At 47.1% G+C, this 14,640-nt stretch overlaps 4 annotated features.

The window, feature by feature from the left end:
* Positions 755-1,293: an enhancer, noted in NCBI's record as "NANOG-H3K27ac hESC enhancer chr10:12306176-12306714 (GRCh37/hg19 assembly coordinates)". NCBI's record gives its function as "activates a minimal SCP1, AML or CMV promoter by ChIP-STARR-seq in naive H9 embryonic stem cells {active_cell/tissue: H9 hESC(naive)}" and the evidence as "EXISTENCE:reporter gene assay evidence [ECO:0000049][PMID:30033119]".
* Positions 781-880: an enhancer, noted in NCBI's record as "active region_3038". NCBI's record gives its function as "activates an Ori minimal core promoter by ATAC-STARR-seq in GM12878 lymphoblastoid cells {active_cell/tissue: GM12878}" and the evidence as "EXISTENCE:reporter gene assay evidence [ECO:0000049][PMID:35858748]".
* Positions 1,101-1,160: a silencer, noted in NCBI's record as "silent region_2140". NCBI's record gives its function as "represses an Ori minimal core promoter by ATAC-STARR-seq in GM12878 lymphoblastoid cells {active_cell/tissue: GM12878}" and the evidence as "EXISTENCE:reporter gene assay evidence [ECO:0000049][PMID:35858748]".
* Positions 1,731-1,780: a silencer, noted in NCBI's record as "silent region_2139". NCBI's record gives its function as "represses an Ori minimal core promoter by ATAC-STARR-seq in GM12878 lymphoblastoid cells {active_cell/tissue: GM12878}" and the evidence as "EXISTENCE:reporter gene assay evidence [ECO:0000049][PMID:35858748]".

Below are 14,640 nucleotides of genomic sequence, written 5' to 3'. Positions count from 1 at the left end.
ATCCGCACAAAACACAGGTCATAAAGACCTTGCTGATAAAACAGGTTGCAGTAAAACAGTGGCCAAAACCAACATGGCGAGGACAGTGTCCTCTGGTGGTCCTCACTGCTACACTCCCACCAGCGCTATGACAGTTTACAAATGCCAAGGCCACATCAGGAATTACCCTGTATGGTCTAAAAAGGGGAGGCATGAATAATCCACCGCTTGTTTAGCGTATCATCCAGAAATAACCATAAAAATGGACAACCAGCAGCCCCCTGCGCTACTCTATCTATGGAGTAGCCATTCTTTTATTTCTCTACTTTCTTAATAAACTTCCTTTCACTTTACTCTATGGACTCGCCCTGAATTCCTTCTTGTGCGAGGGTCTCTTGGGGTCTAGATCGGGACCCCTTTCCGGTAACACCTTAGATTTAAGAGTTCAGGTTCATCCTTCCTTTGTCAGGAATAAGTATCATAAGCAACACAGCCTTTGCTTGTTGCTAGTTCTTTTTTTTTTTTTTTTTTTTTTTTTTTTTTTTTTTGAGATGGAGTCTCGCTCTGTCACCCATGCTGGAGTGTAGTGGTGTGATCTCGGCTCACTGCAACCTCCACCTCCCAGGCTCAAGCGATTCTCCTGCCTCAGCCTCCCCAGTAGCTGGGATTACAGGCGCGAGCCACCGCGCCCGGACACAGCCTCTGCTAGTTCTGCCACTGATCTTCCCACAGGTACATTAAGGAAACTCAGTGTTTGGCGCTTAAACAAATCAACAACAACAAAGCATGGTAGAGAGAAGGCCCAGAGCACCACCCTCCCACGCTGTCCCTCGGGAGCTGAGGGGAAAACACCCAATGCCTTCAGAGACCAGCTGCACTAAACCGCCTTCTCAGAATGAGGGAGGAGCTACTGGCTTGGGGATGTCTCCAGAGCACATTTCTAGAAACACTTGAGAATACGAGAGAAAGAGAATACGAGAGGAAGGCCTAGGTCACTGAAAGCACAGGGAGCAATTTAGGCTTTTGTCTCGGTGTAAATGACATCGTGAGCCGTGCCCCCGCCCCTGCTCGTGGCCTGAGGGCCTGGGGGAGGGCGGGCATCCACCTGGCACTGGCGGCCTCGGCCTTCACCGCCGCACGCGCGGCGCCATCTTGTGGCCCATCCCTTTCCCAGGCTGGAAGCAGCCACAGGCCGATTCTTCCAGCCTTACAAATTCTGTGAAGTACAGTATTTAGACTATTTTTGATTAGTTTAAGAAAACAGCATGGCCAGGCGCGGTGGCTCACGCCTGTAATCCCAGCACTTTGGGAGGCCGAGGCAGGTGGATCACCTGAGGTCAGGAGTTCGAGACCAGCCTGACCAATATGATGAAACCCCATCTCAACTAAAAATACAAAAATTAGCCAGGCGTGGTGGCACACGCCTGTAATCCCAGCTACTCGGGAGGCTAAGGCAGGAGAATCGCTTGAACCCGGGAGGTGGAGGTTGCAGTGAACTGAGATGGCACCACTGCACTCAGCCTGGGCAACAAGAGCGAAACTCTGTCTAAAAGAAAAAAAAGAAAACAGCATTATGCTCAACAAATTAACGCAGAAACGGAAAACCAAATACCGCATATTCTCACTTATTAAGTGGCAGCCAAACATAGGGTACACATGGGCGGAAGGAGGGGAACAAGACACTGGGGACTCCCAGAGGGGAGAGGGAGGGAGAGGGGAAGGCGTGAAAAACGACCTGTTGGTTACTGTGCTCACGACCTGGATGAGGGCTTCAGTCACACCCTAAACCTCAGCATCCCGCAATATACCCTTGTCACAAACCTGCACATGTACTTCCCAATCTAACATAAAGGTGAAATTTTAAAATCAAAAAAGAAAGACAGCTTCAGCTTCCACTTCTTAGTTGAAAAAGAGTCCATGACACATGTTCCATTGGATCTAACAGTTAATAAATATTCACTGCGACTTCCCCCACCCCAAAGTCAGCAATCATAAAATAGGAAGAAAATTTGAGGAAGGAGTTTGACAGTTCTGCAAAAATAAAAAATAAAAAGTTTTTTAAAATGAGAATTATGTACGGGCACAGTGGCTTATGCCTGTAACCCCAGCACTTTGGGAGGCCAAGATGGCTGATCACTTGAGGTCAGGAGTTGGAGACCAGCCTGGCCAATATGGTGAAACCCCATTTCTACTAAAAATACAAAAATTAGCCAGATGTCGTGGTGTACCTCTTTGGTCCCAGCTACTCAGGAGGCTAAGGCAGGAGAATTGCTTGAATTCAGTAAGTGGAGGTTGCAATGAGCCGAGATTGTGCCACTCCATTCTAGCCTGGGCGACAGAGCTAGACCCTGGCTCAAAAAACAAAAACAAAAATTATTTTTCTTTCTTTGAGAAAAAAAACCTTCATCTAGAGGTTCAAGCCATAAGACTATGTTGTACCAGCTCATGTCTGAATGGTTTAAAAGGGAAGAGAATTTTTCCAGACATAGTCATGGATAGGTTGGTTTCAGACAGACAACCTGAAATGAACCTGAGGTTTGGGTTTGTCTATTAACTGTTTTTATTTTGAGAAAGAATTAACCAGAGCTGTCTGCATGAATCTTAATGTAAACGATGCAGCTGTCCCATTTACTTAGGAAAAAGATCACACAATTGACTGTACCTGCAGAACCAGGGCTGAGACAAAGGTGTCCTTGTTTTCAGTCCCCCAGTCTTATCTGTAGATCTTAGTGTTCAATTTAGAGAGTAAACCACACTGGTTAGGAGTGGTGTGAAGTCTGTATGTTGTGTGGTTATGAAATCAAAGCTGGGGTCTGTGGCTGGGTAGTGGTGGGGGGTGGCACTGGAGTTCCAAGCCACTGGCTATCTTTACAACCTTACAGCAAATGGACCCTCAAATCCAACAACCTGTGAAACACCGCAGCCCCCTAAAGCTACAAACACCCTTCTGTGTTTTTTTCACTCTTCTCTTTGTTGATGGTGATACCACAGTGTCAAGTTTACAGAAGATGCTCAGTGAATGGTCTTGTGTGGTTGGCTGATCTCATCACAGCATCAGAAGTACTCAAGGCCTGGGACATAATGGCCCTTGAAGATATACCTGCTTGATCGTATTTTTTTTTTCAATTAAATCAGAATTCCCTTTGCTCAAACTCTTTTTTTTTTTTTTTTTTTTTTTTGAGAGAGAGTCTTGCTCTGTCACCCAGGCTGGAGTGCAGTGGTGTGATCTTGGCTCACTGCAACCTCTGCCTCCTGGGTTCAAGTGATTCTCCTGGCTCAGCCTCCTGAGTAGCTGGGACTACAGGCGCGCACCAACACACCCAGCTAATTTTTTATTTTTTTTTTTTAGTAGAGATGCAGTTCACCATGGTAGCCAGGCTGGTCTCGAACTCCTGATCTCAGGCAATCCACCCACCTCGGCCTCCCAAAGTGCTGGGATTACAGGCGTGAGCCACGGTACCCGGCCGCTCAAACTCTTGAGTTCTTTTGTTCAGATTAAGATTGCATGATCTGGCCAGGGACAGTGGCTCATGCCTGTAATCCCAGCACTTTAGGAGGCTGAGGCGGGTAGATCACTTGAGGTCAGGAGTTTGAGACCAGCCTGACCAACATGGAAACCCCTTCTCTACTAAAAACACACACAAAAAATTAGCTGGGCGTGGTGGTGCACACCACCATGCCCGGCTAATTTTTGTATTTTTAGCAGAGATGGGTTTTCACTATGTTGGCCACACTGGTCTCAAACTCCCGACCTCAAGTGATCTGCCCGCCTCGGCCTCCCAAAGTGCTGGGATTACAGGCGTGAGCCACTGCTCCCAGCCTGTCCCATATTTTGAGCTATGCTCACCCCTGGCTTCCAGAGAGCTGAGGTCAGAAACCTTCCTGACACTCAAAGTCACTTTCAGGCTCCCCCATTATTTTCCTGAGAGTTTATTGTGACACCTCATGATCATCTAACATAGTTTGGATGTTTGTAGCTGAAGTCTCAGCTACTCAAGAGGCTGAGGTGGAAGAATCACTTGAATCCGGGAGGTGGAGGCTGCAGTGAGCCAAGATTGTGCCACTGCACTCCAGCAGCCTGGGCAACAGAGCGAGACTCTGTTTCAGACAAATAAATAAATAAAAAAGATGAGACAGAGAAGCCTCAGACAGCAGCATGAATCAGGTGAGAGACGGAGGTGGGATGTGGCTGGCGGGCTGGAGAAAAGTGAAATCAAAGGCCATGTAGTGGCCGGGTACGGTGGCTCACACCTGTAATCCCAGCACTTTGGGAGGCCCAGGCAGGAGGATCGCTTGATCCCAGGAGGTCAGGGCTTCAAGGATTCTAAGCATAATCTATTGGTTAGAATCAAGTCATAGTTTTCACCTGCACTCCAGGGAAGAGGTTATACAAGGGCTCATTGGTAGTCACCTTGAGGGTGTCTGCGACAAGTTTATTATCATACTATCATTCTAGAAAAGCTCCTATATCCCAATTCAGACTGAAATTTTAAAAATCTCTTTATAAAGAGCAGCAGTTCCATCCACCTGATCATTTTGTGCCTTTATCTTGCAGGACAGACTCAGGTTTTGGGGTGTCTAAAGCTCTCACATGTGAAATGCCCTCTTAAAACCACAGTCTGGCTGGGCACGGTGGCTCACACCTGTAATCCCAGCACTTGGGGAGGCTGAGGAGGGCAGAGTTGCCTGAGGCCAGGGGTTCGAGATCAGCTTGGCCAACATGATGAAACCCCATCTCTGCTAAAAATACAAAAACTAGCTGGCTGTGGTGGTACACACCTGTAGTCCCAGCTACTCGGGAGGCTGAGGCACAAGAATTGCTTGAACCCAGGAGGCAGAGATTGCAGTGAGCCGAGATCATGCCACTGCACTTCAGCCTGGCAACAGAGCAAGACTCTGTCTGAAAACAATAAAACAAAAAAACAAAAAACCCTAGTCTGCCAGGTATAGGTGTTCCTCTGCTGTGCTCTATGCATGGGCATGGGTTTGTGTGTTTCTAATATCCTTTGTAAAGATGCATTTGGCATTTAGCAGTGCATCAGGCTAGTATTGCCTGGGAGGGCAATTTACAGGGGTTTCTGATCCTGTTAACGAATGGCATCTGCTAGCTCAGAGCTCATAAGGATGATTTCGATTACTTTCCCTAAACTTATAATTTTAATTTTCCTACACCTTTACTTCATGTGTTAGTTTGCTGGGGCTGTCATAACCAAATACAACAGACAGGGTTTTAAGGGTGGCTTAAACAACATGATTTATTGTCTCACAGTTCTGGAGGCTGGAAGTCCAAGATCAGGGTGTCGGCAGGGTGCATTTCTGAGGTCTCTCTCCACAGTGTGCAGATGGCCACCCTCTTGCTGTGTCCTGGATGTGGCCTTTCCTCTGCGCTTGGGCATCCCTGGTGTCTTTGTGTCCAGATTTCCTCTTCTGATAAGAACACCCTCATATTGGATTAGGACCCACTTCGAAGGCCTCATTTTAGCTTCATCACCTCTGTAAAGGGCCTGTCTCCAAACACAGTCAGATTCTCAGGTATGAAGGTTATAGGACTTCAACATATGAACTTTGTGGGGACAATTTCCTCTCTCCTGCCCGCTCGCAGTGACTTGGAATACTCTTGAGGGTGTCTCCATCTATTTTGTATTATATTTCATTATCTGGAAAAGCTTATTAATCTAAGCATTTTGTTCCTGCCTCAGGAGCTTGTCATATAAACAAACACCTAGACAACTAGCAATTAATACAATAAAGCAGGTAACGAGCTGCTGGTTTGATAATGTGGACTGTAGCTCTCTAGAAGCTCAAAGAAGGAGGACAAAGGTATAGTGGCTACATTGATCTGGGAGGGCCTTAGGAGCAGGAGGGGTTAACAGATGCTCACATAAGGCCTAATATTTAAATAGGGGTTCTAAACCTTAGCAGTACATTAGAATTATTTGGGGGATGTTTAAAACTACTGGGCCTTGGCTGGACGCGGTGGCTCACGCCTGTAATTCCAGCACTTTGGGAGGCCAAGGCAGGCGGATCACCTGAGGTCACGAGTTGGAGACCAGTCTGACCAACATGGGGAAACCCCGTCTCTACTGAAAAATACAAAATTTAGCCGGGTATGGTGGCACATGTCTGTAATCCCAGCTACTCAGGAGGCTGAGGCAGGAGAATTGCTTGAACCCGGGAGGCAGAGGTTGTGAAGAGCCGAGATTGCACCATTGCACTCTAGCCTGGGAAACAAGAGTGAAACTCTGTCTCAAAACAAACAAACAAACATAAACAACAAACTACTGGGCCCAGCTGGTGGCTCATGCCTGTAATCCCAGCACTTTGGGAGGCCGAGGCAGGCAGATCACCTGAGGTCAGGAGTTTGAGACCAGCCTGGCCAACCACTGCCAACATGGTGAAACTCCATCTCTACTAAAAATACAAAAATTAGCCGGGTGTGGTGGCAGGCACCCATAATCCCAGATACTCAGGAGGCTGAGGCAGGAGAATCACTTGAACCCGGGAGGCAGAGGTTGCAGTGAGCAGAGATCATACCACTATGCTCCAGCCTGGGCAACAGAGGGGAGACTCCCTCTCAAAAGCAAAAGACAAAAACAAAAACAAGAACAAACTACTGGGCCCCAGAGATTTCAGTTTAATTGGTCTGGATGAGTATTCTCCATTGATTAAGAAAAAAATACTCTCCAGGTAATTAGAATACACAACTAGGGGCCGGGTGCAGTGGCTCATGCCTGTAATCTCAGCACTTTGAGAGGCCAAGGTGGGAGGATCCTTAGGTCAGGAGTTTGAGACCAGCCTGGGCAACATAGCAAGACCCCCCCCCCACCCCACCCAATGCACATACCTGTTTCTATGTGGAAAAAAAAAAAAAAGAAAGAAAAAGAAAAAGAGTATATGGCCGGGTGCTGTGGCTCAAGCCTGTAATCCCAGCACTTTGGGAGGCCAAGGCAGGTGGATAACGAGGTCAGGAGATCGAGACCATCCTGGCTAACACAGTGAAACCCCGTCTCTACTAAAAATACAAAAAATTAGCCGGGTGTGGTGGCGGGCGCCTGTAGTCCCAGCTACTTGGGAGGCTGAGGCAGGAGAATGACGTGAACCTGGGAGGCGGAGCTTGCAGTGAGCCAAGATCGCGCTACTGCACTCCAGCCTGGGAGACAGAGCAAGACTCCGTCTAAAAAAAAAAAAAGAAAAGAAAAAGAATATACGACTAAGACTGAGAATCTCTGGCCTAAATGAACAGATGAGCTTAAGGAGGGCATTCATATTCCAGGTGAGCAGGAAGCTTCGAGGGGAGGCAGCAAGCAGGAATGCCGCGGATATTGAAAGAACATGGAGAAGGCAGACTTGCTGGGAGCTGAGGATGTTTTAAGGGTCGTGGAAAATAAGTTTACACAGATCAGAGTGAAATTACATGGGGTATATGGAATCTATATCAAACAAGAAAGGCAGGAGGAAGATAGAAGCAGGTTTGCAAGCCCAACTGGTTGGTTATTACAGACAGACAGATGTGAGGTCCTGAGGGTACTGGATGGAGATGCAGAAAGGATCATAGAGAACACTGGGAAGGGTCCCGGCGTTGTGGATCATGCTTGTAATCCCAGCACTTTGGGAAGCTGAGGCAGGAGGATCTGCTGGAGCTCAGGAGTTCAAGACCAGCCTGGGCAACATGGCAAGACCTTGTTTCTGCTAAAAATAAAAATAAATTAGCCAGGCGTGGTGGTGTATTCCCGTAGTCCCAGCTATTCAGGAGGCTGAGGTGGGAAGATAGCTTGAGCCTCGGAAATTGAGGCTGCAATGAGTCATAATCATGCCACTGCACTCTAGCCTGGGAGACAAAAAAATAATTTTAATTTTTTTTTTTTTGAGATGGAGTTCCACTCTTGTTGCCCAGGCTAGAGTGCAATGGTGCAATCTCGGCTCACTGCAACCTCTGCCTCCCAGGTTCAAGCAATTCTCCTGCCTCAGCCTTCCGAGTAGCTGGGATTACAGGCACCCGCTGCCACACATGGCTAATTTTTGTATTTTTAGTAGAAATGGGGTTTCACCATGATGGCCAGGCTGGTCTCAAACTCCTGACCTCAGGTGATCCACCCGCCTTGGCCTCCCAAAGTGCTGGAATTACAAGCGTGAGCCATGGCACCCAGCCGGATACTGAATCTTGAGCCCAGTGTCATCAGGACAGAAGGCAGAATCTCTCTAGTAGCTAAGTCCTGGGATAGTGTCTTTTGCGTCTCCAAAGTTTTCCCAGTCTCCGTTCTCTCTGTGGAGCTTACACACTTTGCGCCAATTTCCTGAGGCACCTCACATCCTTCCAGTACATGCTTTCATTAACTAGAGTTAGTTTCTGTTGTTTGCAACCAAAACTGCTTAACTGATTGACCATACTTCTTCCCATTATTCGAGTTTTGGGGGAGCATTATTTTGCATTCAAAATCCAGAAGTGAGCAAATCATACCCTGGGATCTTTGTCTCTCCTTTCTTAAGACTCATTCGGGCCTAGCGCGGTGGTTTATGCCTATAATCTCAGCACTTTGGGAGGCGAAACCCCGTTTCTACTAAAAATACGAAAATTAGCCGGGCGTGGTGGCGGGTGCCTGTAATCTCAGCTACCAGGGAGGCTGAGATGGGAGACTTGCTTGAACCTGGGAGGCGGAGATTGCAGTGAGCCAAGATTGTGCCATTTCACCCCAGCCTGGGCTACGAGAGCAAGACTCCATCCCCCCTTCCCCCCTGCTGGCCAGAAAAAAAGATTGATTTGGACATTCTCATTTTGATTTCAAAAAAGACAAGTCTGTGGCCACCAAGGGTGATGAGAGGTGGCCATATGATGTCCTTTTCACTCCTCATACCTATAAACTCATTGAGAGGTACCAGTGACCTTTCTGCACGGACTGTCTTTTAAATTGTCTGTTTACAATGCTGTATCCATTTATACTCCATTTATTTCCCCATGAGGACCTGAGAGTGGCCAGGCATCGTGGCTCATGCCTGTAATCCCAGCACTTTGGGAGGCTGAGACGGGAGGTTCACTTGAGTCTAGGGGTTCCAAACCATCCTGGGTAACAAAAAAAATGAAAGTAAAATCAGCCAGGCATGGTGGTGTGTGCCTATAGTCCCAGCTACATCTGAGGCTGAGTTGGGAAGATCGCTTGAGGGCAGCCATTGGAGGCTGCAGTGAGCTATCATCATGCCACTGAACTCCAGCCTGGGCAATAGAGCATGACCCAGTCTCCAAAAAAAAAAAAGTATTTGAGAGTATTCCTTCCTCTCCATTCCTTCTTTCCTATGTCCCTACCTGGCGCTTTTTTTTTTTTTTTTTTTTTTGAGACAGAGTCTCGCTCTGTTGCCCAGGCTGGAGTGAAATGGCATGATCTCGGCTCACTGCAACCTGTGCCTCCTGAGTTCAAATGATTCTCCCGCGTCAGCCTCCCGAGTAATTGGGATTACAGGTGCCCAGTACCACGCCTGGCTAATTTTTGTATTTTTAGTAGAGACGGGGGTTTCGCCATGTTGGTCAGGCTGGTCTCGAACTCCTGACCTCAATTGATCCTCCCGCCTCGGCCTCCCAAAGTGCTGGGATTACAGGCTTGAGCCACTGCGTCCAGCTCCTGGTGTCCTCTTTCTTTTTTTAGACGGAGTTTCACTCTGTCGCCAGGCTGGAGTGCAGTGGCCCGATCTCGGCTCACTGCAACCTCCGACTCCCTGTTTCAAGTGATTCTCCTACCTCAGGGTCCCAGGTAGCTGGGATTACAGGCATGTGCCACCACGCCCAGCTAATTTTTGTATTTTTAGTAGAGACGAGGTTTCACCATGTTGGCCAGGATGGTCTTGATCTCCTGACCTCATGATCCACCTGCCTCGGCCTCCCAAAGTGCTGGGATTACAGGCATGAGCCACCGTGCCCGGCCTCCTGGTGTCCTCTTTCTTTGGTGACTTTTTTTTTTTTTGTAAAGAACTAAGAACTCCAATGCTCTCAGCATTACCAATACATGCAAAGGAGGCTATGCTTCTTTTGTAAGTGAGAGAAACTCAGTCTGGCTTTGGAAGCTTGAGCTTTCATTGACCTGAGATATATGCCTTTCACAAGGTGGAAAACAAATGTTCCTAAAAGCAATAACATTACTTGACATTTTTGTAGCATTTTTTGTCTTCAAAGCAATTTGTAGACATTAAAGAATAAGCTGTCAGCCCTTCCCAGATAAGAATCATTGCCTAAGTGCTTAGTACAACCCTGTCCTGTTCCTCAGACCTAAACAGTGGGCCCTGCTTATAAACTGTGGCTGAACAAAATGACTTCTTAGGAGGAGAAAACAGAGGGAGGGTGGGGGAATGAACTCAGTTGGAAGGAAGAAAAGAAGACGACCTGCAATTTATCTAGTACATATTGTGAGTCTGGGGTGACAGTTTGGAGAACACTAGGGCTTCAGCCTGGCTCTGTGCCTGTTGCCCAGGCTGGAGTGCAGTGGCACAATCTCGGCTCACTGCAACCTCCACCCCCCAAATTCAAGCAATTCTCCTGCCTCAGCCACCTGAGTAGCTGGGATTACAGGCACGTGCCAAAATGCCTGGCTAATTTTTTTGTGTTTTTAGTAGAGGCAGAGTTTCACCATGTTGGCCAGGCTAGTCTCAAACTCCTGACCTCAGGTGATCCACCCACCTTGGCCTCCAAAAGTGCTGGGATTATAGGTGTGAACCACCGCGCCAGGACTCTTCCTTTCTTTCCTTTTTATCTATTTTTTTTTTTTGCGCGGGGAGGGGAGGCGGTGCAGTGGTGAGATCATAGCTCACTGCAGCCTTGAACTCCTGGGCTCAAGCGATCCTCCTGCCTCAGCCTCCTATGTCGTTAGGACTACAGGCATGCACCAGCATGTCTGGCTAATTTGTCTTTAAAAAAAAAAAACAACTTTTTTTAGAGACAGGGTCTTACTATGTTGCCAGTATCATTTTATTTTGGTTTTCTTTGATTAAAAAAAAAAAAAAGACGCACCTGAATGCATTCTCTCTTTAGGTCATTCATGCCAGACTTTTTGCCTAACCGTATAACTTTTAGCTATTTCTTCACTACATTTTTGTTACGATGTCTTAGATTTCTGTTCCTCAATCTTTTTGTTTGTTTGTTTTTGAGATGGAATCTTGCTGTTTCAGGCTGAAGTGCAGTGGCACAATCTTGGCTCACTGCAACCTCTGCCTCCCAGGTTCAAGTGATTCTCCTGCCTCAGCCTCCCAAATCGTGGGGATTACAGGTGCGCACCACCACACCTGGCTAATTTTTTGTAGTTTTGGTAGAGACGGGGTTTCACCATGTCGGCCAGGCTGGTCTTGAACTCCTAACCTCAAGCAATCTACCTAACACGGCCTCCGAAAGTGCTGGGATTACAGGCATGAGCCACCATGCACGGCCTAGTCCTCAAGCATCTTTCTTTTTTTTTCTTTTTTGGAGACAGAATCTCACTCCGCTGCCAGGCTGGAGTGCAGTGGCGTGATCTCAGCTCACTACAACCTCTGCCTCCCGGGTTCAAGCAATTCGCCTGCCTCAGCCTCCCGAGTAGCTGGGACTACAGGAATGCACCACCGTGCCCGGCTAATTTTTTGTATTTTAGTAGAGACAGGGTTTCACCATGTTGGCCAGGATGGTCTCGATCTCCTGACCTTGTGATCTGCCCGCCTCGGCCTCCCAAAGTGCTGGGATTACAGGCGTGAGCCACCGTGCTCAGCTGTATCTTTCTAAGGTGTATACATACCTGCACTGTGTGTGAGTGGTAAGTTTACCGTGATTTATTCTTTCCTTAGCATGAGCCAAGGACAACATGTGAATAAAACAATGTTTAGATCCTGCTACAGGGAAGGTTTTGGGAAAGTCAACATCTTTGGGGAGCAGTTTCGTCATCTGTCAAAAAAGAAAAGAAGGGACTGGGCGTGGTGGCTCACACCTGCAATCCCAGCACTTTGGGAGGCTGAGGTGGATGGATCACCTGAAGTCAGGAGTTTGAGACCAGCCATGGTCAACATGGCGAAACCCCGTCTCTACTAAATATATATATATATTTTTTTCTTGACTCTGTTAAAAAGAACGTGCCTTTCATATACTGTACAGAAGTCTGCCAAGCAGAATGATTGACAATAGCTACCATTTGTCTGTGGTCTGTGACGTGCAGTGCACTACGCTACAGGTTTATGAGTTATCTCACTTAACGGACTCCAGAAAACTCTTCTTACCCTTTGCAGGTAACAAACTTAGTCAAAAAAACTGTCACATAAGGTTTCTGCTTGTTTTTTAACGATCCTCAATCATCAAAAAGAGAAATGGTTGAGATGAGAAAACCTTACGAACTCAGAAAATGCAAATCAAATGAGACTCTTGAAAACAAAACTGGCAAAGCGTGCTGTCTCCAGGAGGCCCATGCGACATGACACCACCTGCAGGACAAAGCACATATTTACCCCAACCCTTCAAAGGCAACTGCAGCAGCGTCTTCTCTTCAGAAGGAAGGACTGCAGGGACACGCTGAGGAAGCACACAGGTTTCCATTTTCTGAATTCAAGCACAAGCCTGAGGTACCTCAAAGAAAGAACAAATGCCAGTAAAATAAAAGGACGATTCAAAACTTAAGAGCTGGGCGCGGTGGCTCACGCCTGTAATCCCAGCACTTTGGGAGGCCGAGGCGGGCGGATCTCTTGAGGCCAGGAGTTTGAGATCAGCCTGACTAACATAGTGAAACCCCATCTCTACTAAAAACACAAAAATTAGCTGGATGTGGTGATGCATACCTGTAATCTCAGCTACTCAGGAGGCTGAGGCAGGAGAATTGCTTGAACCCAAGAGGCAGAGGTTGCAGTGAGCTCAGATCGTGCCACTGTATTCCAGCCTGGGAGATAGAGTGAGACTCTGTCTTAAAACAGAAGTAATTTTTAGGCAGGCATAAATTATACTGGGCTTTAGGAGAATATTTCCTGCATAGTATCCTATATTTCCTGATATTAACATCAGGAAAATCAACTAAAATTAAATACACTAAGTAAACAATGCACAAAAATCACATTTTAGAAAGTGACCTGGGAGTTGAAGTCCAGTTTCCCCAGGAAAATGTGCGCAAAAGTGTAATGAGAATTGTACAGTTTATGAACTCTCTGCCAAATTTTGCTTGGGTCTTTTTATTTTATATAGTCTGAATATAGTTTTCTTTTTTGTGGGGGATGGAGGCTCGCTCCGTCACCCAGGCTGGAGTGCAGTGGTGCAATCTCAGCTCACTGCAACCTCCGCCTCCCAGGTTCAAGTCATTCTTCTGCCTCAGCCTCCCAAGTAGCTGGGACTACAGGCGCCCACCACCACACCCAGCTAATTTTTGCATTTTTAGTAGAGATGGCATTTCACCATATTGGTCAGACTGGTCTTGAATTCCTGATCTTAGATGATCTGCCGGTCTCGGGCTCCCAAAGTGCTGGGATTACAGGCATGAGCCACCACATCCAGCCTAGTCTGAATGTTTTCAATTGGTATCAAATATATTTACTTTTTTTTTGGCTTGGTAAAATGCCATCTTGACAAAGCCAGCTTCCAGAGCTAAACTTAAAATCAACCCTTGATACTAAATCCATCATAGGTGGATAGGCACCTGTAAGCAGTTTAAAAAAACAAAAGTATTTCTGAAGTACCTGTACATTAAACAGTTGAGGCCAGGGGCGGCGGCTCACACCTGTAATCCCAGCACTTTGGGAGGTCGAGGCAAGCAGATAACCTGAGGTGAGCAGTTCAAGACAAGCCCCATCAACATGGAGAAACCTCATCTCTACTTAAAATAAAAAATTAGCTGGGCATGGTGCCACATGCCTGTAATCCCAGCTACTCAGGAGGCTGAGGCAGGAGAATCGCTTGAACCCAGGAGACAGAGGTAGCGGTGAGCCAAGATGGCACTATTGCACTCCAGCCTCGGCAACAAGAACAAAACTCCATCTCAAAAACAAACAAAAAAACAACTGGCCCCACAAATGGCAATTGAGGCCAGACACAGTGGCTCACACCTGTAATCCTAGCAGTTTGGAAGGCTGACGCAGGAGGATTGCTTAAGGCCAGGAGTTTGAGATCAGTATGGGCAACACAGGGAAACCCCATCTCTACTACTTAAAAAAAAGAAAAAAAGGGCATCTGATGTACTGAATACAAAGATCAAGTACTGAGGACGAAGATTACCACCGGATACCACGTCGGGCAGGTACCCTGGGAAATTGTGATGTCTGTATCCTTCAAATTGCTTGGTGATGTCAACTAATACAGAAAGAGCTCTTAGTAGAATGTCTGGCACATCATAAAGCCTCGGTAAATTAGGCACAATTGATATCATCACTTAAAAATGGTGGCCTTTTAAAAACGCCACATGGCAAAACCCCATCTCTACAAAAAAATACAAAAATCAGCTGGGCGTGGTGGTGTGCACCTGTAGTCCCAGTTACTCAGGAGGCTGAGGCAGGACTGCCTGAGTCCAGGAGATTGAGGCTGCAGTGAGCTGTGATTGTGCCACTGCACCCCAGACTGGGCAACAGAACAAGACTGTCCCTAAACAAAACAGGGCGGGCGTGGTGGCTCACACCTATAATCCCAGCACTTTGGGAGGCCAAGGTGGGCAAATCACTTGAGGATCAGGAGTTCCAGACCAGCCTGGC

The sequence above is a fragment of the Homo sapiens genome, chromosome 10 (assembly GCF_000001405.40).
Source record: "Homo sapiens chromosome 10, GRCh38.p14 Primary Assembly".
Classification (NCBI taxonomy): Eukaryota; Metazoa; Chordata; class Mammalia; order Primates; family Hominidae; genus Homo; species Homo sapiens.
The sequence above is the reverse complement of the archived record's forward strand: the minus strand, read 5'-3'. Positions and strand labels throughout refer to the sequence as shown.